Source organism: Homo sapiens, chromosome 1, assembly GCF_000001405.40.
Source record: "Homo sapiens chromosome 1, GRCh38.p14 Primary Assembly".
NCBI classification, from domain to species: Eukaryota; Metazoa; Chordata; class Mammalia; order Primates; family Hominidae; genus Homo; species Homo sapiens.
Genome location: NC_000001.11, coordinates 178,926,615 through 178,949,612, shown reverse-complemented (window position 1 = coordinate 178,949,612; position 22,998 = coordinate 178,926,615). Strand labels below are relative to the sequence as shown.

Below are 22,998 nucleotides of genomic sequence, written 5' to 3'. Positions count from 1 at the left end.
TCTATTGCCCAGGCTGGAGCATGATCTCGGCTCACCGCAACCTCCGCCTCCCAGGTTCAAGTGATTCTTCTGCCTCAGCCTTCTGTGTAGCTGGGACTACAGGCATGCACCACCACGCCCGGTTAGTTTTTGTATTTTTAGTAGAGACGGGGTTCCTCTATGTTGGCCAGGCTGGTCTCAATTTCCTGACCTCGTGATCCACCCACCTCAGCCTCCCAAAGTGCTGGGATTACAGGCGTGAGCCACTGCGCCCGGCCAATTTTGTTTTTTTAATATACTGTATTTTGTAGAGCAATGTTAGGTTCACAGCAAAGTTGAGCAGAAAATACAGAGAATTCCCATATATGCCCTGCCCTCACACACAATCTCCTCCACTGTCAACTTCCCAAATCACAGTGGTACCTATACTGACGCGGCATCATCACCCAGAGTCCATAGTTTACATTACCATTCACTCTTGGTGTTGTACATTCTATGAGTTTGGGAAAATGTATAATCACATGTATCCACTATTACAGTATCACACAGAATATTTTCACTGCCCTAAAAATCCTCTGTGCTCCATCTATTCATCCTTCCCTCACCCCTAGTCCCTGGCAACGACTGTTCTTTTTACTGTCTCCATAGTTTTGCCTTTTCCAGAATGTCATATCGTTGGAATGATACAGTATATGGGCTTTGCAGTCTTCTCCATGCCTTTTCGTGACAGCTCATTTGCTTTTATCACTAAATAATATTTCACTGTCTGGGTATACCACAGTTTAGCCATTCATTTACTGAAGGACATCTTGGCTGATTCCAAGTTTTGGCAATTATGAATAAAGCTGCTGTAAACATCTGTGTGCGGTTTTTTTTTTTAAATGGACATTAATTTGCAATTTATTTGGGTAAATACCAAGAGGCATGATTGCTGGGTCATACAGAAAGAGTATGTTTAGTTTTATAGAAACTGCCAAAGTGTCTCCCAATGTGGCTGTACCATTTTGCATTCCCACCAGCAATGAATGAGAGTTCCTGTTGCTCCTCATCCTTGCCAGCATTTGGTGTTTTTGGATTTTGGCCATTCTAATAGGTGTGAAATCGGACCTTGTTTGAAATACGTGTTTGATGTACTAGCTATGTAGTGTGTGAATATTTAGAGTAATGTTCATAGTTTAAGGAGTGATGATTGTTAAAAATGCATAAGATTAATAAATGGGCATTGAGCCAGGTGTAAACAGTAGTTGGTATTCCTCTCCATGCCTGGGAATTCTACAGATTTGCAGCGCCTTGAATATGACATGAACAGTGCAGGACTGTGTACCAGGTGGAGGTGGCTAGGGACCACATTCTCTCCATGGTAGTATTTTGAGGGAGTGTCAAGGGAAGATGGGTCAATCAAGGTTGGAGAGGGTGGACACAGGACTTGGGGCGGAGGTGGCTAGGGAGGGCCGCATTGCTCTCTATGATGGACTAGAAGCATTTTGAGGGGAGTGTCAAGGAGAAAAGGGTCAACCAAGGTTGGAGAGCATGGGGGAAAAGCAATATGGCAGAAGATCAAAGCCCAGGATTGTGTCAATGGCCAAGGAAAAATTTAATAGGGTGTTTAATATTTCATTTGATGTGAGTAGCATTGCTGTGATGTGAACCTTCTTTGTTTTTATAAGTTGGCTACACTATAAATGCCTTACGTGAGTGGTTTTTATGAAACTCCAGGAAAAATGTCCATGCCTGCATCCATGAGGGACAGAAAGAAGGAACAGCCATGGGCAGGGGGAGGTGAGTGAGACTGAGATACTTGTGGCAACAGCCTGAAGTGACTTCATTAATGTGGTTCCCCTCCCTCCAAGGACTGCTTAGGGATGTTGTGACAAGGAAGTGGGTGAAAAGGTAACAGGTGACATATGATGCAGGCGTGTTCGAGCCAGCCCTTATCAGCTTGCAAGTTGATTGTTAAATTTGCAGGAATTTTGGTGAGCCAGATATTAAACCATTGGTAGAGTGAAGTCAACCACAATGGGAGGTATTCTAATATTAACACCACAGAAACTGGTACAAACATTACAAATCAGCACTCGCCCCCCCCACCCCCTGTCCACAGCCTGTTAAACATTGACCAGCACACCACCACATATGAGGCCATTTCTTTTCTTTTTTTTCTCCCTTTTTAGAGATAGGGTCTCGCTCTGTCACTCAGGCTAGAGTACAGTGGCTCTACTGTACTCTACTGTTTGAGCTCACTGTAGCCTCAAACTTCTTGTCTCAAGCAGTCCTCCCACCTCAGCCTCTGGAGTAGCTAGGACTATAGGCATGTGCCACCACACCTCACTAATTTAAAACTTTTTTTTTTGTAGAGATGGGGTCTTGCTATGTTGCCCAGGCTGGTCTCAAACTCCTGGCCTCAAGCAATCCTCCAACTTTGGCCTCCCAAACTGCTGGGACTACAGGCGTGAGCCACTGTGCCCAACCGTGAGTCCATTTCTGATCTTGCTCCCATCCTTTTTCCAGGCTCATTTTGTGTTACTTCCTGTTTTCACCCAGATGCCAAAGCAGTCACAATTTCTACCTCCTGGTCTTCTGCAAATACACTGCCCTTACCCTGGCTCCTTTCCAGTTTTCAACTGAAATATCACCTCCTGGGGCTGCTGCCAGCACAGACAGTGCTTGAACACCTTAGGAAAAGGTGTCTGACCCCATGGGGCCCCTCCTTGTGCTCCCCTCCCATCCTCTCCCCTACAGTTTGAGGTCCTTGAGTTGGGCCTGCACATTCACTCATTTCTGAATGAGGAGAGCCTGGTGTGGACCGGACCCTCTCTCAGCTTCTGCAGAACTAATCTCTCCTGGTAGTTTTGTGCCTCAAGGACAGTCATGGTGGGACCAAGTGGCGGCTGATGCCGTCTTTGAAGTTAGAGGGAAAAGTCTGCAGAGCTTCCCTGGATGAGGCGAGGTGAGGGGCAGCAGGGGGCGCGTGCGGATGACAGGGAATTAAAGAGAAGACCCCTCATGTGCTGAGGCCTGAAGCTCCACTCCGGTGTGGCAGGATTTCTGGCCTGCGCCTGCCTCTATTGTGGAGGGAGGAACCAATATCACAGCGTGAACTGGTCCCCAGGGCTCTGGGATGGCTCCAAGGTGTCCCTGCATCAGACCACGCTGTCTCTGGGCCGCCCTCTGTCTCTGCTGTTGCTCCCGGTCAGAGCCATTTTCTGACTTGTCGGCAGGACTGGAAATGGTGACTTGAATGAAAAATTCAAGCTGCAGGGAAAATTTTTAGGGCTGCAGAGAGAACTGCTCTCGGGGCTTTTACAAGGCTCTCTTTTCCCAAAGACGGCGCCATCCCAGAGCATTTAAAACTTGTCCCTGCCCTCAGCTCCACCAACTCCTGTTAGAAGGGAGGGGAGGGAAGATGAAGAGAAACACAGGGGAAGATGCCTGCTGAGTCAGCCCTGGGAACCGAAAGACAGAGCCGGCCCCTGCACGCCCTGCCTCCCCTCGGTTCACCAAGGACAGGCAGCAGTCAGGAGGGGCTGCCAGAGACTGTGCCCTCACACCCGCTTCCTTACTCGGAGCAGCGCCCATCACAAACCCTATTGACTTTAGAATGCTGTGTATTGCTTAAAAATCCGTACTGATGCAAGCCAGTCTTCCTAAGGGTGGTCACTGTCGCCATCCCCAGCAGGAGAGTGCTTCGGGAACCAAGAAAGTAAGCGTCCACGCCCGCCTGGTGCAGCAGAGAGGAGTCCTGCCCAGGTGCCTGGCCCGTCCCAGGCTTGGTTGGGACATGCGCTTCAGCTACCTTACCTCTCTGGTTTCAGATTCCCCTCTGAGTGGCCAAGATTTCTTTTCCTGGAAAGCCGAGCACCTGTTTTTCCCGAGCCTCTGGTGCCCAAGCCATCACCACTGCTTTCCTGGGAACCACTCCAGGGTGGTTGACTTGGTACCTTGCAGAAACCCTTTTGCTCAAAAAAAAAAAAAAAAAAAAAAATCTACCTCTGAGCCAGGCGTGCCTGCCAGGAGAGACCTGGGAATATGAAATTCCTTAGAAGGTTTGCTCTGAGGCTGAAAGCAACTAAATGGCTGAATGGGATCATGTGGAGCTTCTTGTCCTTCTAACCTGAGAAACTCAAGCATCACATATTTTCTTGTATCTTCTTTCTCCCTTTTCTACTTAAGACTAAAATAGGTGCTCAAATAGGCGACCGTCCTGCTGCCTCCATCGAAACACACTATGGCTCTAAGACGCAAAGATGCAACTCTTTTTGTGACTCGTGGACATGGGGTCATCCCTCAGTGCTCATTGTGCTCTTGACATAAATGATGACCCTGCAAACAGCTACTGGGTGCTGCCTATAGGCCAGCATTGTGTTAAGCAGTGTACAGGCACCATCTCATTTAATCATTTCAACTACGTTGTGAGGAAGGGAAGTATTATTTTTGTCATCATTTTCCAGGTGAGAAAACCAAGCCTCAGAAAGTTATGAAGCTGATCACACAGTTCATATGCAGTGGTGTTGGAATGTAGACTCAAATATTTCGGACTCGGGGTACAATACTGCCTTCCTGTGACTTGTAAATTCAGTCCAGTTGTGAAGTGCAAAGTCTCACTTGGACTGGTAATATGGTTTGGCTCTCTGTCCTTACCCAAATCTCACCTTGAACTGTAGTAATCCCCACATGTCATGGGAGGGGCCCGGTGGGAGGTAAGTGAATCATGGAGGTGGGTATTTCCTGTGCTGTTCTCATCATAGTGAATAAGGCTCACGAGATCTGATGGTTTTATAAAGGGGAGTTCCCCTACACATGCTCTCTTGCCCGCTGCCATATAAGACATGTCTTGCTACCCCTTTGGCTTCCACCATGATTGCGAGGCCTCTCGAGCCATGTAGAACTGTGAGTCGATTAAACCCCTTTCTTTTATAAATTACCCAGTTTTGGGTATGTCTTTATTAGCAGCATGAGGACAGACTAATAGAACTGGTCTTTGGACAATAGACAAACTATAACACCAATCCTTTTTTTTTGAGATGGAGTCTCACTTTGTCACTCAGGCTGGAGTGCAGTGACGTAATCTCGGCTTACTGCAACCTCCGCCTCCCGGTTTCAAGTGATTCTCCTGCCTCAGCTCCCTGAGTAGCTGGAATTACAGGTGCCCGCCACTACGCCCAGCTAATTTGTGTATTTTTAGTAGAGACGGGGTTTCACCATATTGACCAGGCTGGTCTCAAACTCCTGATCTCAAGTGATCCACTTGCCTTGGCCTCCCAAAGCTCTGGGATTACAGGCGTGAGCCACTGTGCCCGGCCTAGTCCTGTTTTGAGAAAGTAGAAAATGCCATCCCTAGACAATCTCTGTCAACACATTATTAAAAGGTTAAATTAGTGTAAGTTTACCAGTTGCTGACAGACATTGAACTTCTTTGGCCTGGGTTTTTCTCTACAAGTGGTGTTTTCCCACTTCCATGTTGTACCCAGGAAGTATGATGTTGGACCATCTGAAGTTGGTGTTATTGTAGGTCAATACCGATAGACTATCAGCAATTTCATGTGAGTCAACCTAATCACAGATACTGCAGCTTGAGAAGCCTTTACTATCTTTACCACCCCATCCCCCCAAACCCTCAAGCAATAATTCTTTCTGCCCCAATTTTACCCTCACTTCAAGTTCCAGCTAAAATAATGCCAGCTCCTCCAAGAAGCCTTTCTCGAATTCTCAACTGGAAACAGTCTTTCCTGAACTTCCACAGCACCTGATTTGTACCTCTCTTCACTATCTTCTGGACATATTGGTTGTGTATATGTGTGCATTCTTTTGCCTGGTCAAGGAGCCATGTCTAATTTTTTTGTTTGTTTGTTTTTGTTTTTGAGATGGAGTTTTGCTCTTGTTGCCCAGGCTGGAGTGCAATGGTGCAATCTCGGCTCACTGCAACCTCTGTCTCCTGGGTTCAAGCGATTCTCCTGCCTCAGCCTCTGGAGTAGCTGGGATTACAGGCACCTGCCACCATACCCGGCTAATTTTTTGTATTTTTAGTAGAGACAGGGTTTCACCATGTTGGCCAGGCCGGTCTCAAACTCCTGACCTCAGGTGATCCACCTGCCTTGACCTCCCAAAATGCTGGGATTACAGGCGTGAGGCGCCTGGCCAGCCATGTCTAATTTATCCCTATCTGATCAGCTCTCAGCATAATATCTGGCACATGGTAGCTGCTGGTTAAGAGTTTACTGAGCTCAGCTGTATGACTTTCTGCTCTTGTGGTGGCAGTGTCTATCCCAGGGCTTCACACTCTAGCTTGTAGGATAATCTGAGCAGAAATCGGGGAATGGGGGGTAGTCCTCCCAGTCTCTCCCACCCCCACCCTGGTACCTTCTCGGGAAAAGGGTAGTGAAAGTGCACCTCTGGCCCTGCTTGGGTGGAGAGTAGCTGAGAAGCCCTCTCTGAGTGAGACTGAATGAAAGGCTCAGGTGAGGATCACTTTAGATGTGCCAGGGACAGGGCCCTTTTAATGTCATTCTACCTCAGAGAAACATCTCCCGAATCCGGCTGATTGGCAGAGCCACAGCCACAATTTCAGTCATTGCCTCATGTACCGTCTCAGGAAGTGGTCTGCTGGCCGGTGAGTCAGAAGGCAGGGGCTCTGCATTTTCCCCACTGACTACGTTCTGGAAAGGATCCCCTGGCAGCCCTTCCCTCCCAGGCTTGATTAAAATGGAAGGGATTAGTGAATTTGTGTTTCCTCCAGAGAGGCGAAATCCACACAAACTGAGTCGGCTTCGTCTCTAGAAAATGTTGATGGTAGAAGACTGCATGCTCTTGAGTAGCTCATCTCAAGAGCTGTGGTTTCCTCTTTGTATCTCCTGGCTTAAAAGCATGACAGGAAAAGGGGGAAGCCAGGATTTGAAGTGGCTGACAATCTCCATCTCTTTGTGGGCAACTACCCAGTGCAGACTCCAGATCCAGCACAGTCTCCAAATCCAGCGCAGTGGAGCCAGCATATGGGAGACATGGGGTGCGGGGGAGAACACAGGCGGAGACGGAGGGCTGTTGGGTCTTCCAGGCACCAGCTGTGTGACCTGGGCAGCAGGACCCCTCCGGGTCATGCTGCACCTCACTTTCACCACCTCTCCTGTCTGCCAGCCTCAAGTGAGAATGCAGATGGTGCAGGCAATACTGCTGAAAACAAGTTCAGGGGCACAAAACCCAACCGCAAACACACATAAGAAAGTACTTAGAAAAATCATAAAGAGCTGCATGAATGTAAAGAATCAATATTATCCACTCAGTCCTTAACTCGCTTACTGAGTGGTTAGGAGATGCTAGGCAGTATGGGCAGTGCCTGGACACAGATGAAAGCTCCTGGCCCTCGAGGAAGTCAGACAGCAGTGGGGAGACAGACAAAGACAAGAGGAATCACCAACGCTAAGCAAAGACACAGGCGTGAAAGCATGCAGGAGCACGCAAGAGACTGTGTTGAGGAGCCGGTAAAGTGGCAGGGGTGACCCGGGGGAAACAGGATGGGGAAGGCAAGGGCGTTCCAAGCACGGGAGCAGCACAGGCAAAGGCTCTGAGTCAGGGAGACAATGATGCATGGGGGGGGACCTCCAGCTGTTGCTCATGGTGGGTGGGAGGGTGCAGGGCAAGGGCTGCAAGGCCGGAGCCTGTGAAGGTGGGCAGGATCGGATCACGGAGGGCCTTGGAAGCCATGCAAGTTGCTCCAGTGTGCTCTGGAAATGAGGAGGCCGCTGCGGGTTTTTATTCGTATTTATTTATTTTGGAGGCAGTCTTGCTGTACCGCCCAGGCTGGAGTGAAGTGGTGCGATCTCACTGCAACCTCTGCCTCCCGGGTTCAAGCAATTCTCATGCCTCAATAGCTGAATAGCTGGCATTAGGCATGCACCACCACGCCCAGCTAATTTATTTTTTTTATTTTTAGTAGAAACGGGGTTTCACCGTGTTGCCCTGGCTGGTCTCAAACTCCTGATCTCAGGCAATTCGCCCACCTTGGCCTCCTAAAGTGCGGGGTTTCAGGCATAAGCCACTGCGCCCAGCCCCACTGCAGGTTTTTAACAGGCCCGTGGCAGGAGCGGATGTGGGTTTCAGGGAAGATCACCACGGCTGCAGGGTGCCCGCATGGAGGCGGAGAGCATGCTGAGGAGCCAGCCTAGCCCCATCGGTAGCAAGCAAGGTAGTGGAAACCCAAACTGAGAGGCAGTGGGCGTGGCACCTGTGTGAACAGGAGTCAGGAAATTTAAGTATGAAGGAAGCTGCATGTGGAGACTTAGTAAGTAATTGGATGAATGGGTTTAGGGAAGGTAGGAGGCTGGGATGCCTGTGGGACGTGGGCTGGTGAGAACCTGGTGCTATTTTCAGAACTGGGGATGCAGGAAGAGAGTCAGGTTAGGGAGGGAGATGAAGAGTTCTATTTTGAGTATCCTGAACTTCCTTCCTTTTAAGTGGAAAATAGCATTTCCCCTCCTTTATACTATCAATTTGTTTCGTTGAAATGTCCTTTGCTGCAAAAAATTTTTCAGGACACCCAGAAGAATACATAAGTGAATAAAAATTCTCAATTCTATTACTTGGAGATAGTTAACATATTGGTGACTGTTCTTCCAAATCTTTTTTCTCTGCACGTTAATTCTAAAAAACATAATTAGGGGCCAGGTGTGGTGGCTCACACCTGTAATCCCAGCACTTTGGGAGGCCGAGGCAGGTGGATCACCTGAGGTCAGGAGTTCGAGACCAGCCTGGGCAAAATGGTGAAATGCTGTCTCTACTAAAAATACAAAAATTAGCTGGGCGTGGTGGCGTATGCCTGTAATCCCAGCTAGTAGGGAGGCTGAGGCAGGAGAATTGCTTGAACTCAGGAGGTAGATGTTGCAGTGAGCTGAGATTGTGCCATTTCACTCCAGCCTGGGTGACAAGAGTGAAACTCCATCTCAAAAAACAAACAAAAAACAAAATACATAAATAAGATAGAGTATAACACCTTAAAAAACTTTTGGTGCTCAGGCGTGCCCTAGATCAATATAATCAGAATCGCTGGGGGTTGGGGACCAGGCCTCAGTGTTTTTAAAGCTGTCCAGATGATCGTATGTGCAGTCAGGGTCAAGCACCAGCCCCTTAGAGATGAGGTAGTACAAGGAAGGAGAGCACAGGCAGCATCTGTGTTGATTCCACACTGTTCCTGCCTTCCTCCTGGAGTAGGAAGGATTCCATGCTTTCCTTCAGAAAGAAACCAAAATCTATGCAATAACAAGAGTCATTGACCCTAAGGCATTGCAGACTTCTATCCAATAGAATCAGACCCAGTCATGGTTCAAAGACTTGAGGAAACGGCAGGACTTTTGGATAATCTTCTCAAGCCCAGTGGAGGCTTTGCCTTGGGTGATGGATGGTGAGGAGCCACGTCAGTGGTTGAATCATTGCATTAACACGTCAAGGCTCAGGCTTTCTAGCTGGCCATTGGAACTGAGGATGTCATTAGTCTCTTAGCAAGGTTAACTTTGGGTAATACGAAGAAAAGGGATTATGAACTCTTGGAATCAGCATTCACCTTCTTAGAGAAAGAAAAGAAGGCGAAGACGAAAAAGAGTGCCTCCGATTCACGTTAGAGCTTTGAGTCCAAGAATTGTAAACATGTATAGGCTGCCAAATCTCACTCTAAATATATTCCAATGATCTCATGTTTTCATATGCAGTGGAATAAAAAGAGGCATTTTTATTCATTTTGGATGACAGCATCTTGAGCTTTTATGGGAGTGTTGTAGGAGTATTAGTTTAACCAAGAGCTGCAATCAATATTTCAACCATTCAGAGTCACCACAACAGGCACGTTAGACACTGAATGACAATTATCTTGTCATTGCAAGTTGGACCCTCAAACGTGTTCCCAAATATTGATGGCAAATCCCCCACCCCCAGGGGGAAAATCCCCCATCAAAGATCCTCTGAGGAGAGCCAAGCGAGGCACTGGAGAGAGCAGTGCACATATTTCGAGGTGATTAACATTTCGGTTTTGGCCTCCTCATCTGCAAGGGCTTCGTCTGTTACTCGTTTTCTCTTTGGCCAAAGAGACCACATCCAGTGTCCCGAAGGAGAAGGCTGGAAATTTTTCGGAAAGCCCTTTTAGGAGAAGCCCAGTGAGAGGGCAAGCAAAGCTTCATTCCTTTTATGGCCAAGATCTCACAGTGTGAGACACAAAAAAGAGAGCAAGAGCAAGAGAGCTGGAGAGCATGTTGTCTCTGTTCCTCTGCTCCCGGGGCTGTGGCGTCCACATGGTCTCCAACCTTGAGCTGAACACAGTTGATACAAAAACCAGGGACCCTTTCAGTGGCCCCTGGGGTGACGGGAGAGTCCAGCACCCCACTTCCCCTCACCCTCGGGGTTAGCCTTCACCCCGCTCTGGCATCTTCGTCCCAGCCCTGCGTGCACATAAATCAAGCAGCAGGGTAGCTCGGAAACATGACGAATACCTTGGCTGGCTCCTGCTTGAAAAGACAAGGGGGGAGAAGAGGGATTCTAAAGTAACCCGGCCTTGACTGGAAACGCAGCCAGAATTTAGTGTTCCTGGAGCTGGCCCCAGCTGCTCAGACAGGAGCTGCCAGGGGAGACTTCCCTGGGGGCAGCCCCAGCCCTCCACGCTCTGGAGGAGGAAAAAGCTTTGGTGTCTGTCAAGAACATTATTCAAAAATTCTTGGACACTTCTAAGCCCTTTCTGTGAGCATGGAGACAGGGGGTTGAGGGAAGCTTTGCCTAGGCTGGGATGGCACTTGGGTATAGCCCCAGGTTTGAGTGCTGCTGTATTCATGGACAGTGCCCCAGAGGTGGGTGTGTGATGCCTGTGTGTGTGTGCATGTGCATGCGTGTGCATGTATGTAGGGGACCGGTGAGGCAAGACAGCCCACTTAAGGACACGGTTTTAAGTACACTGCCAGCTTTCAGTCTGGGGGCCTGTGAATGTTGTGGCTGTTGGCTTCTCCCTTTCTCTGTTTCCCAGTTCCACCAGCTCCCAGTGTCTCTGGTCTCTCCATTCATTCTTTTCAGTGGGTCAGGCCCCTGCTGGAATGACTCTTCAAGAGTCTGCTCTGCCCACCCTGACCAGGGGCTCCCAGTAGGGAAAGCCGAGGGTTCTAGGCGTTGCCCTCCTGCCTCCTCTGTCTGCCAGGACCACTGCAGGGGGCTCCTGAGTGTCCTGGCTCTCCTGTGAGGTGCCACAGAGGCAGGACTGCGTAAGGGACTAGTTCAGCCTTCAAGGAGCTTCAGTCGAGAGATTCTCTTTGTTTTGTTCTTGAGGGTCATGAAGAGATCATTCCAGCTGTCACCGACAAGAGATTCTGGGAGGCACCTGAACACAGTGGAGGGCCACAGAGAGTCTTCTTCCACAGAGAGCTCTGTAGGGATGAGGCCTCAGATGTGACAGGCTCTGAGCACGGGAGTATTAGAGGCTGAGAAGGGCTGCCTCCCTAAAAAACATTAATCGTGTTAAAATATTCACTGCCCTCTCCAAAATCTCAACACTTAAAAGCATTTTTTACGTTTCTTTTCTTTTCTTTTTTTTTTAAAGGAAGAAGCACCGTGGGGACTCTCACTGCAAAGAAGACAGACCATTATCAACACTCCTCCCCTCTGTTCCCCAAAGTCCCCTCCTGACCGCAGCATCAATCTTCCACGCTGGCCGGCCGGTAATTAGCTTTCCTCAGGGCAGGGGCAGATCACCAGCTCAGGCCTCCATCCAGGGGTTTCCTGTCCCCAAAGTTGCACTAATGCAAATCCATTTTTCATTAGGAGAAAATAAAACTCACAAGTGACATCAACTGAAAAATGTTTTTTGAGAGCAAGTTATTTCCATTTAAAGCTAAGCACATGACAGCTGGTGACTTTTAATGGAAAGTAAAATTTGCTGGGCTGAATTACTATCAAACCACTTGAGAATTTGTTTCTAATTTTCCTTTTTGGAGGAAGGCAGTGCTCTGGAGTCCAGCAGAGCAGATGAGGAATGGAAAGGTCTGGTCTCATCTCTAATTGCGGCCTCAAAAGACCCTGGACAATCCTCAGTAAAATCATGTCCCAAGATTTAGTTACATTAATTTTCTTTACTCTGTACTTGAAACTCATTTAATAAGCTGGTTAGAAAACAAACTTTCTGTACCACCTTTTGTTTGGGCCCCCAAAACCAAAATGGTTGTATGTGTACTGAAAACTATCTACGGTTGGCCAGGCGCGGTGGCTCACGCCTGTAATCCCAGCACTTTGGGAGGCCGAGGCGGGTGGATCATGAGGTCAGGAGATCGAGACCATCCTGGCTAACAAGGTGAAACCCCGTCTCTACTAAAAATACAAAAAATTAGCCAGGCGCGGTGGCGGGCGCCTGTAGTCCCAGCTACTCGGGAGGCTGAGGCAGGAGAATGGCGTGAACCCGGGAAGCAGAGCTTGCAGTGAGCCGAGATTGCGCCACTGCAGTCCGCAGTCCGGCCTGGGCGACAGAGCGAGACTCCGTCTCAAAAAAAAAAAAAAAAAAAAAAAAAGAAAACTATCTACAGTTTCTCCACTTAATAGAAAATATCTGGTATAGCAGAACCTGGTGGGCATTTGCTATGGACTGAATGTGCCCCTGCCATTCATATACTGAAGCCCTAACCCCCAGTGTGATGGTATTTATTAGGAGGTGGTGCCTCTGGCAGATTTAAATGAGAGCATGAAGGTGGGACCTCCATTACTGGATTAGTGTCCTTATAAGAAGAGGAAGAGACCAGAGCTCACTCTCCCCACCACGTGAGGATACAGTGAGAAGGTGGCTGTCTGCAAGCCAAGAGCCCTCACCCAAACAGAATCTGCTGGTATCTTGATGTTGGATTTTCTAGCCTCCAGGACTGTGAGAAATAAATGTGTGTTGTTTAAACCACCCAGTCTATGGTATTTTGTTATAGTAGCTAGGGCTGACTACAACTGAAGTAGGCTAGAAGGAACTCTGTTATCATGAGCTCCAGGGATGAGCTGTCTATACACTTGTGCTGCATCAGACATGAAAGAGGAGTGGTGTGAGACTTGCTTTTCTGTGCATCCTGTTTCAGAGCAATATAAATTCAGTTCCTCTTATCTTCCAGAATCTTCTAGCACTTCTGGAATCTATAACATATGTCTGTATGGATAATAGCACCTCTGGAATTTGGGGACAAGGTCAAAGGGTGTCGGGATTTGAAGGGGAAGCCATAAGAATCTTCACAATATAAATTGAGATTAAACACTTGCAGATGCAACCCATCCTTGGGGTGGTTTTGCAAACATATTGCTGAGGATTTCATGGTTTGCTACATCAAGATTAGATACCCAAAGTTTATTGGAAGATTAAATTACAAAAAGTAATGACAAGGTAAGTTGTAATAAGTCATGTTATTTGATGAGAAGTAAAGATAATTAAAGGCATGAAAGAGTCTGTAAGGAGCCTAGAAGAAGAGAGGTGAAGAGTAAGAATCTAGCTAGTGTTTCCCCAGGGGTGTCAGGGAATGGCAAAAATGTTCCAGACTGTACCAACGATCTGAGCCACACACTCCTGAAGACTTCTTTTACCCTGATTCCTGTTTAACAAGTAGTTTTCTAAATGCTAATTCAGTTTTTCTGGTACACAGCAGAAAGGGGTCCCCTGCATAGTAATTAGAAAGGTGTGTCTCTGATGGTACATTACTTCAACTGGCATGCTGGTTTTCCCGTCAGTCTACTATGGGAGTTTGGTTGGCAAGAGTCCATTCCTTGAGGCCTGGTCAACGTTGTGTGGGCTGATTACAACATGGGGTTTCTGAAACTTAAAAGTTAAGGGCCCGATCTGGACCCAGGCCTCTACCAAGCCACAGATGACCTTTGAGGCTCCGCTTGATCAGGCAGCCAGCCATGGAACATCATCATGTGGCAACTCCACACCCACAGCTATCATGGCTCCCACTTGCGGACACATTACTTTGTATGTATTTTGTCTTTCTTAAACAACTCCTTGCTCCCATTTCTTCTCCCTCAAATTGTGAGATTTTCTGCTGCAGGGCCTTGTCTCTCCTCTTTCATACATTAAATGTGTAAGATCTTGACCACAGGGACACTCAATATATTGAATGACTTTGTTGGCAAAGATATTTGAAAAGATGATAGGTGCAAATATAATTTATTTATCTTCTTTGGAATCCAGCTGTAAAATACATAGTTAAAATAGAAGCTAAAATGTTCTGTTGTTTGATCTTCAGCTTCTGTCTAAATTGAATTGACTCTCCATCCCATCCTACTTCCTTAGAGACAGACAAGAAACTCCTGTCACCATGCTTTTCTGTACTCTGTCCTACGACTTTGCTTCCATTTAATTTGTCCTCTACTTGTCATTAAGATGTTATTTGGGGCTGATTAGAGTTTGCACCTGTTTCAGTTTATTCCCAATTATATAGTTATAGGTAATCATTATAGCCAGCCACCATTATGGAACTACAAACCTCTCAATCATCCTATTACAGAAAATTTGCTGAATTGGAAAGTCATGGTAACAGGCCAGGCATGGTGGCACACACCTGTAGTCCCTGCACTCGAGTGGCTGAGGCAAGAGGATTACTTGAGCCTAGGAGTTCATGTCTGTAGTAAGCTACAATTGTGCCTGTGAATAGCCATGGCACTCCAGGTGGTGCAACACAGTGAGGCCTCGTCTCCTAAAAAACACATTGAAAAAGGAAACTCATAGGAACAGCAGCAGTAGGCTTACCATGTGGCCTCAGCAGCCCTGGGAGGAGGAGAGTATGCAGGAAATAAGGAGCTTCAGCGAGGGGCACCAAGAGGCAGAATGTTGGTTGCAGTGATGACTAGATGTGTGAGTTTGGGTAAGGCCCTTCAATCAAGACTATTTCCTTACTTACAACAGTGCAGATAACAATCCCTATCTCATAGGACTGGTGTGAGGGTTACATAACATGACACGTGTCAAAGCCACAGCACATTGTCGTTAAATGTCAGTTCCTCCTCTCTTTCTATGTCCAAGACATACAGGGATGGGATGAGGGAGCTCTTGTGTGAAGGCCCTTCCAGTATTCCCAGGACTTGACCTCTATGGAAGGGGTCCAAAAGCATCCTAAATTCCTATCCAGGGGCTCTGCTATAGCTTGGCTCCAAGACATCATGGCATAAACACAAAAAGGAAGAAAAGTCTGTCTGTACAACTTATAGAATAAGAAACTATGAAGTCATGCTTCACTGTCAGAATGAAACAACTTCTGGCTCTTTTGTTAGGAAGTTGCTTATGTCCAACTTACCTGACAAGGAGCCCCAGAGAGAGACCACAGTTCAAACTTGCTTGATTTCACCTTCAGCTGTCTGCTAGTGTCTAACATTTCATAGAGAGAGACGAGAATAGCCACTCTCAATAATGGGTCCCAGCTGACCAAGGGTGCAGAATATTTATGCTGGCGGTTCCCATCTGCTGAGCGGTTACAAGCGCCAGGCCCTGTGCTTTGCATCTTCCACGCATGACCTTATTCAACCTCACAATAAACTTAGGAAGGAGGAGCTTTCTCATGCTGTTTTTGCAGATGAGGAAATACACTTGGGAGGGTAAGTGTGGTGGACAGGAAGAGTTGAGTGATGTGGGCAATTGAACATGGAGGGATAGGGGGCCAGAGTCCCACTCTTCTCCAAGAAGGGTGCCGGGTCATCAGGGAGGGCCAATGCATCCACTGGCAGATCAGTTAATCAGCATTACTAGTCCCAGAGCCTAGCAGAGGGCAGGGCTCCTGGGCACAGGAGACAGAGGAGCCTTCATCCTTCAAAATGCCTCTCAATTGTTTCCTACCTGTGCTCCCACTTTGGGACAGACCCTTGCTCTCTCTCTCCTGGAGAACAGCTGTTTCCTGCCTGGTCTCCCAGCTTCCATTCTCCAATTCCTCCTTCTGGCACTTAAAATCCTGAGCAATTTGGCTCCAACCTACTTTTCCAACTTTATGTGTTGCCACTTCTCAGTGTGAGCTCTTCCCAGCCTCAACTGTATATTTCCAGCTCTTGCTTGCAATTCTTCTCCCCTGGTCCTAAATCCTACCCACCCATGGACTCTCCTCTTCCACGTGGCCTTCCCTGGCCTCTCAGGGCCACAGTGTTTCTCCTGAATACGAAGAACTTTCTTAGTCTAGCATGGGCATCCAGCACATTTATGCAATTCAGGATTGCTTGTGTTAACCACTCTGTTTTGTGTCTGTAGTGAGGCTGTAAAACTCCAGGGACCACATGCAGCACAGTGCAAGGCCTACTGGGAGGCTCTGTCCCGGGAACAGACATTGGAAAAAAAAAAAGGTTATATTTACATGTTGACAGCACATGGATTTCTTCAGCTGAAAACTGTCATTAGCAAGGAAAATTAAAGTAGGAAGCTTGTTCTTTCTTTGAGTTTCATAATAAATCACAAAGTCATTTGCGGAGCTTTTGTGCTGCAGGTTCTGGGCACCAAAACTGCAAGTTACAGCTCTGAAAGCCAGTGTCCACCAGGGCCGAGAATCAGACCAGAGTTTGAATCCTGGCTCCACCTCCTTACTGGGTGACTGTAGGCAAGTTCTTCAACCTCTCCAAATTTTCTGGTTGTAATTCAAGAAGAAGTATCTCTACTATACAGGGTTGTTAAGAAAGAATAAATTAGATAACAATGTATAAAATAAGCTTAGAACCACAACATCAGAACCAATGACTATATGATGAATCAAACTGACTTACTTTCACAAAATGCGTTGGGAACTTAGAATGGTATCGGTAGGAAAGTAGTGAGGACCTGAGGTGGGGTGAACAGGAAAACAGCTGCTCAGTTGCCTTTGCTTAGGATGAGTTTGTGCTCCGGGCGCAGGGATTAGGTGATGAGGAGGTAGTTGCCACTGGACAGGGAAATGTGTTGCTTCTTCCCAGCGACCTCAGGGGACACTCTCCTCACTGACTGTGAGATCCCCTTGGTCAGGGACTGCCTCCCCTTCCCCAGAACCTAGCACAGAGCAGGAGTTCAGCACATACTGGTTTTCATTGAACATTCCCAAGTACTTACTTTCCAAGAATAAAAGAAGCAGTTCTTTCTAGACTTACTTGCTAAGCAAAAAATGGATAATTAAGATGTTGCAAGAAAGTCGCTGGCAAAAGTCCAAGGAGCTGCTTTTCTTAAACCCTGCACGGAGGTGCAGGGGGTGACATATTTTGACAGCTATGACATAGCTCAGGGCAGATGGAAGAACAACAAGTACAAAAGAGAACTTGATTTTGGCTTTGGCCAAAGAGAACTTTTGACTTTGTTTGGCAACTGTTTACTGGATACCATAGTAGCATGCCTTGCCCTAGTGTGGTGTGAGAGCTGCCCCTCAGCCAGTGATGGAGAATGAAAATACTTGAGAGTAAAAGCCTAATTATTTAAAAATACATCAAAACAAAAGCAAAGAGGGAAACAATCTGGCTTCAACGTTTATGAGAGTCCAGAGTCTCTGAAGAAGCTGGTCCTGTTAAGGAATGGAAGACAGGGCCCCAAGGGAGCTGAGGGCGTGGCTGCTTCCCCAGGGCCTGCTGTGGGGGCCAAACTGACCCTGAGAGGCAGTGTGTCAGCTTCACAGCTGACTTGAGAACCAGCGGGGCCCTGGGTCTGGTTTACCACAATAAAGGAACAAAATGTTCCCTTTCTAGCAGAGCCGCTGCTGGTGGGGTTCGGGACAGAGGCGGGTCAGGGCCCTCCGAGATGTAAGGACACTGCTTTGCTTTGCCAGTGAACTCTGGTTTGGTTTGGGGGTATTTCATCTTTAAGGACTGTGAAGGTCCCATTTGTTCCCTGCTTTAATAAAAAATAACACAAGAAATAGGTGTTTCTCTCCCTTATTTTGAGACCACTAATCAATACCATCTGATCATAGTTTTAAAAATTAATAAATTGGGCTACACAAGCAGAAATCTATTTTTTAAGCTATATTATTTCTTACCAGCACATGTAAAATTCTTAAAGGTGGCTGATGTTTTTCCCCCTTTCTTCTTCCTCTTTTTCCCTCCTTCTTTCCTCCCTCCCTCTCCTCTCTTTTTTCTCCTTTCTCTCCTTTTTTCTTCTTCCCTATCTTTCTCCCATTTTTCTTTTTTCTTTCTTAAAAGTCCAGAAGTAAGGCTCTTGTAGGGTTAGTTCAGTAGCACAAGAAAATCATTATGGGGCTAGGTTCTTTCCATCTTTCCCTTCTGTTCTCTGAGGACCAGCTTTGCTCAAGGGCCAGCCTTTATCTTGGTCATAAGATGGGATGCCCAGTTCTAGGCATCACATGACAACACCTGAGTTGGTAAAGAAACATCAGTCAAAAGACTATAGGGGCCGGGTGCGGTGGCCCATGCCTGTCATCCCAGCACTTCGGGAGGCTGAGGCGGGTGGATCATCTGAGCTCAGGAGTTCGAGACCAGCCTGACCAACATGGTGAAACCTCGTCTCTACTAAAAATACAAAAATTAGCCAGGTGTGGTGCTGCATGCCTGTAATCTCAGCTACTCAGGATGCTGAGGCAGAAGAATCACTTGAACCCGGGAGGTGGAGGTTGCAGTGAGCTGCGATCGTGCCATTGCACTCCAGCCTGGTCAACAAGAGTGAAAAAAAAAAAAAAAAAGAAGGCTATAGTGAGTGGTGGGGACTGTAGTGAACTGGAGAGGAAATGGCCCTATTTAACACATTCAAATACAAAACCATTTTTTCTTTTTGTAGTTTCAAAATATTTTGTTATTGTTAGGGAGGGGGAAAGGGAATTATGGATGTTTTCAAATAATCCTTTTGCGAGTAACTACACTGTTGCAAGCAGTCAAAACACTGTTAATGTTCCAATTTTGCAGAAGTCAGCATGGAACTTCAGGGGAGGTTAGGTGATCTGCCCCAGATGGAACTGTTACAGGAAAGGGGTCCTGATCCAGACCCCAAGAGAGGGCCCTTGGATCTTGTGCAATAAAGAATGCAGGGCCAGTCCACAGAGTAAAGTGAAAGCAAGTTTACTAAGAAAGTAGAGGAATAAAGAATGGCTACTCCATAGACAGAGCAGCCCCGAGGGCTGCTGGTTGCCCATTTTTATGGTTATTTCTTGATGATATGCTAAACAAGGGGTGGATTATTCGTTATTCATGCCTCCCCTTTTTAGACCATATAGAGTAACTTCCTAACATTGCCATGGCATTTGTAAGCTCCCATGGCGCTGGTGGGAGTGTAGCAGTGCGGATGACCAAAGGTCACTCTCATGGCCATCTTGCTTTTGGTGGGTCTTGGCTGGCTTCTTTACTACAACCTGTTTTACAAGCAAGGTCTTTATGGCCTGTATCTTGTGCCGACTCCCTATCTCATCCTGTGATTTAGAATGCCTTAACCATCTGGGAATGCAGATGACCAGTAGGTCTCATTTTACCCAGCCCCTACTCAAGATGGAGTTGCTCTGGTTCAAACACCTCTGACAGAATGGGAGTAAAGGCATTGTCAGCCCCAGGCTCTCTCTGCTGCTTCATGGCTGCTCAGAAAACTTGCTGCTGCCCAGGTGTGAGCTCTACCTCCTTTGCAAGATCCTGAGCTTCCTAAGGGTTGGGTGGTGTCTTCTTTTGTGCCCTCCCATCCCCCAACTCATATAATCATGATATCGAAGGGACCCCATTCACATTCACGCAGAGCTCAGGATGGATCCTCTGATGCTTCCCTTTCTAATCCAATTTTTAATTTATGTGTTTTAATAAGTCCTCCAGGGATTCTGTTGCCCTCTAAAGTTTGAGGACCACTGTTCAAAAGTCTCTGTAATGCTTATAGACCAACAATCTAAATATTGGTTCTCAACCTGAGCTAGATATTCAGGTCACCTGGGGGAGCTTTCAAAAATTGTTAATGCCTGGATCCTAGCCTGGCCTCCCACCCACAGATTCTGATAGAATTGGTCTGGTGTGCAGCCTGAGAACTGGGACTTTTAAAAACTCGCTAGGTGATTCTAAATTGCAGCCAAACTTAAGAACCACTGATCTAAATAAAATATGAAGGGAGACAACTGCACTGTAAACAAATGAAAGATTAAGTGGAAATCCAAAAGTGAGATGCACACTGACAAAAAATGAAAAAAAAAAGGCTAACATGAAAGATTAAACTCTAACAATAGAAGTATAAGGGAAGAGAGATTATTTGGTTTAGGCACTACTGGAGGTATTTCTCTTCCATATTTAAAGGAGCCTGGAAAGCTCATGACTGCCTTCAGGAACAGGTGTATGTACTGATGGTTTCTAAATTGCTGTGGATTAGTGTTACTGGAAAAATCCTCTTTACTGCTTCAAAATGCACAGCTCAGTATGTTATGAAACACTCTCATCATTTGATATGTTCTCCTAACTGTCCTTTTCCCTTTTCTGTGAGTTCAGAGAGAGGGAGTGGGTAAAATAAGCTTGTGCTGTAACAGGGAACCTCATGTCACTTTCAAACAATAGTAAGATGTGCCCCTGGGAAAGTCCCATGACTGCAGAAGCCCTCCTGCTACCAGGCAGCTCAAATAACAAAGGGCACTCGGAGACTACTTTAACCAATATGAACACAGAATAAAAGGCTCCTTTTAGAGAAGGAAAAACAGAGAGACAGAAATGAGTTTTCCTTTAAGAGGGGAATCAGTTTTAAGTAAAAGCAAGGAAGCACATAGAATTTGTTACTCAAGTGCAGTACAGTATTTTGATTTGGAATGAGACAGAACTTCATTAACTGTACCCTAGCAAGTTAGTCTAGAATCAGAGGTCTCAATTCAAATTGCACCAGGCCATATTTGGATATTTTCTTAGGCTAATTCAAAGATCCAGGGAGATACAATCACCCTCAAAAGTGTAGTCATTTCTCTTTTAAAATGGAAATACTAACCCCATGCTTTTGTGGTTAAAATTTGTTAAAACATGATTTAGGTTACATAAAGTCATAAAACATGGCTACTAGAAGGCTTAACGGCTGGCAGGGGGTTCATTGATTGCACCTATTGTTAATTGTTCACGAATCTCCAGGTTTTTCTTCTAACTCAATTAAAAAATTTCCACTTTTCACATTAAAATCTCAGAATAGTTTCTGGCAATAAAAATGACGACTTGCTTGTCTGTCTTTCTCCCACAACAGCTTAACACAGATGCCAATGGTTTCTGAAAAGCTTGGGTCTGACAATCAGGCAATAATAAAGCAAATTCAGCAACTGTTACTTCTAGTTTAACTTGGGCTGTGGGCAAATCAGGTGCACATTTTAGTGTGCAGCAGACTCTGGCCTCAGATTCTGATTTGGCTGGTGGGGTGGCATTCAGAAGTCTGCATTTTATACAAGGGCCTCCAGCAATCTAACCCATGTGGCTGAAATACTCCTCTTAATAATCAACAATAGGCTGGGCGCAGTGGCTCATGTGTGTAATCCTGGCACTTTGGAAGGCCAAGGCGGGAGGATCACTTGAGGCCAAGATCAGTCTGGACAACATGGCAACTCCCTGTCTCTATAAAAACAAAACAAAACAAGGCCATTGTGGTGGCTCATGCCTGTACTCCAACACTTTGGGAGGTCAAGGTGGGCGGATCGCTTGAGGCCAGGAGTTTGAGACCAGTCTGGCCAACATGGTGAAACCCTGTCTTTACTAAAAATGCAAAAATTAGCTGGGCATGGTAGTGTGCACCTGTAATCCCAGCTACTCGGGAGGCCGAGGCATGAGAATCTCTTGAACCTGGGAGATGGAGGTTTCAGTGAGCCAAGATAGTGCCACGGCAGTGCAGCCTGGGTGACAGAGCGAGACTCTGTCTCAAAACAAAAACCCAAACCAACCACCCCCCCCCCAAAAACCCCAAACAATAATAAATGCGAATTGTTTCTTTTTTTAGACTCACTCGTCCCAGGCTGGAGTACAAAGGTGCCATCTTGGCTCACTGCAACCTCCGCCTCCCGGGTTCAAGCGATTCTCCTGCTTCAGCCTCCTGAGTAGCTGGGATTACAGGTGCCTGCCACTACACCCAGCTAATTTTTGTATTTTTAGTAGAGATGGGGTTTCACCATGTTGGCCAGGCTGGTCTCAAACTCCCGACCTCAGGTGATCTGCCCACCTCGGCCTCCCAAAGCGCTGGGATTACAGGCGTGAGCCACCGTGCCCGGCCACGGGAATTGTTTTACAGGTGGCTTTTCTTCAGGTTTTCCTCTCCTTGCTAGTTTGTTCATAAGGAATATGCCTGGTTTATTTCTATATTCGATAAACAGGTGAAGACACTCCTTAGTTCACTGTGACTTAATTCATAGGTAACTGCAAAGACCTGACTCTTGTGACTAGTTTTATGACTGTTTTGTAACTGTTCCATGTAAAATTTCCCCTTCATTCCTAATCTCACTCCCAGTGCCTGATTCCAAGAGCAGCTAGTAGGTTACAGTGTAACAATGACACTAATCTACCTCACACTGACGAAGTGTTTCCTATGTGCTAGCCCTGCTCTAGGGCTTGAGATTTATCAGCTAAGTTTAGCCTTACAACAACTCTATGACATGGGTTTTGACACTGTGCACATTTTACTGATGAGGAAATTGAGGGACGAAGTCACCTGCTCCAGGTCCTGCCGCTAGTTAAGTGACAGAGCCAGCGTCTGAACCCAGGCAGTTCAATTCCAGCATCAGAATCCTTATTCCTGTGCTCTATACACATACATGATTTCCCTAATACTGTCCAGATGTTCTCTGGCATGGCCTCATCAGTTTATACCCTCATCTGCTGAGTGCATGAGGATTCCAGTATTCCCCAAACCATAACCGGTATTATCTGGCTATTTTTCACCAATTTGATAAAACATATAGAACATGACAGCTCTCACCTTGCACTTCTCTACTAGTGAGGTTGAGCATTTTTTCATGATTTAGATTTCCCTTTATAAATTGTCTATTCATATCCGTTAGCTCAGTTTTCTCATTTTATTTTGCAAAAATGTCCTGTTATCTTCTTGACATTAATCTTTTGCTCTTATAAACTCCAAAAGTTTTCTTCCAAATTTTCACCAGTCTGTTAACTTTGTCTTGTCCA

At 46.5% G+C, this 22,998-nt stretch overlaps 1 long non-coding RNA gene across 1 annotated transcript, besides 3 other annotated features; it reads left to right on the top strand.

Moving 5' to 3' along the window:
• Nucleotides 2,540-3,325: an enhancer, noted in NCBI's record as "H3K4me1 hESC enhancer chr1:178915423-178916208 (GRCh37/hg19 assembly coordinates)". NCBI's record gives its function as "activates a minimal SCP1, AML or CMV promoter by ChIP-STARR-seq in primed H9 embryonic stem cells {active_cell/tissue: H9 hESC(primed)}" and the evidence as "EXISTENCE:reporter gene assay evidence [ECO:0000049][PMID:30033119]".
• Nucleotides 6,733-6,933: a silencer, noted in NCBI's record as "peak477 fragment used in MPRA reporter construct". NCBI's record gives its function as "represses an SCP1 promoter by STARR-seq MPRAs in K562 erythroleukemia cells {active_cell/tissue: K562}" and the evidence as "EXISTENCE:reporter gene assay evidence [ECO:0000049][PMID:32103011]".
• Nucleotides 9,944-10,443: an enhancer, noted in NCBI's record as "H3K4me1 hESC enhancer chr1:178908305-178908804 (GRCh37/hg19 assembly coordinates)". NCBI's record gives its function as "activates a minimal SCP1, AML or CMV promoter by ChIP-STARR-seq in primed H9 embryonic stem cells {active_cell/tissue: H9 hESC(primed)}" and the evidence as "EXISTENCE:reporter gene assay evidence [ECO:0000049][PMID:30033119]".
• Nucleotides 10,542-12,714, top strand: LOC102724754 (uncharacterized). The gene is made up of 3 exons (XR_426873.4): nucleotides 10,542-10,796; nucleotides 11,537-11,654; nucleotides 12,635-12,714. It is a non-coding gene; the product is annotated as an uncharacterized LOC102724754 (long non-coding RNA).
• Nucleotides 12,715-22,998: the final 10,284 nt, after the last annotated feature.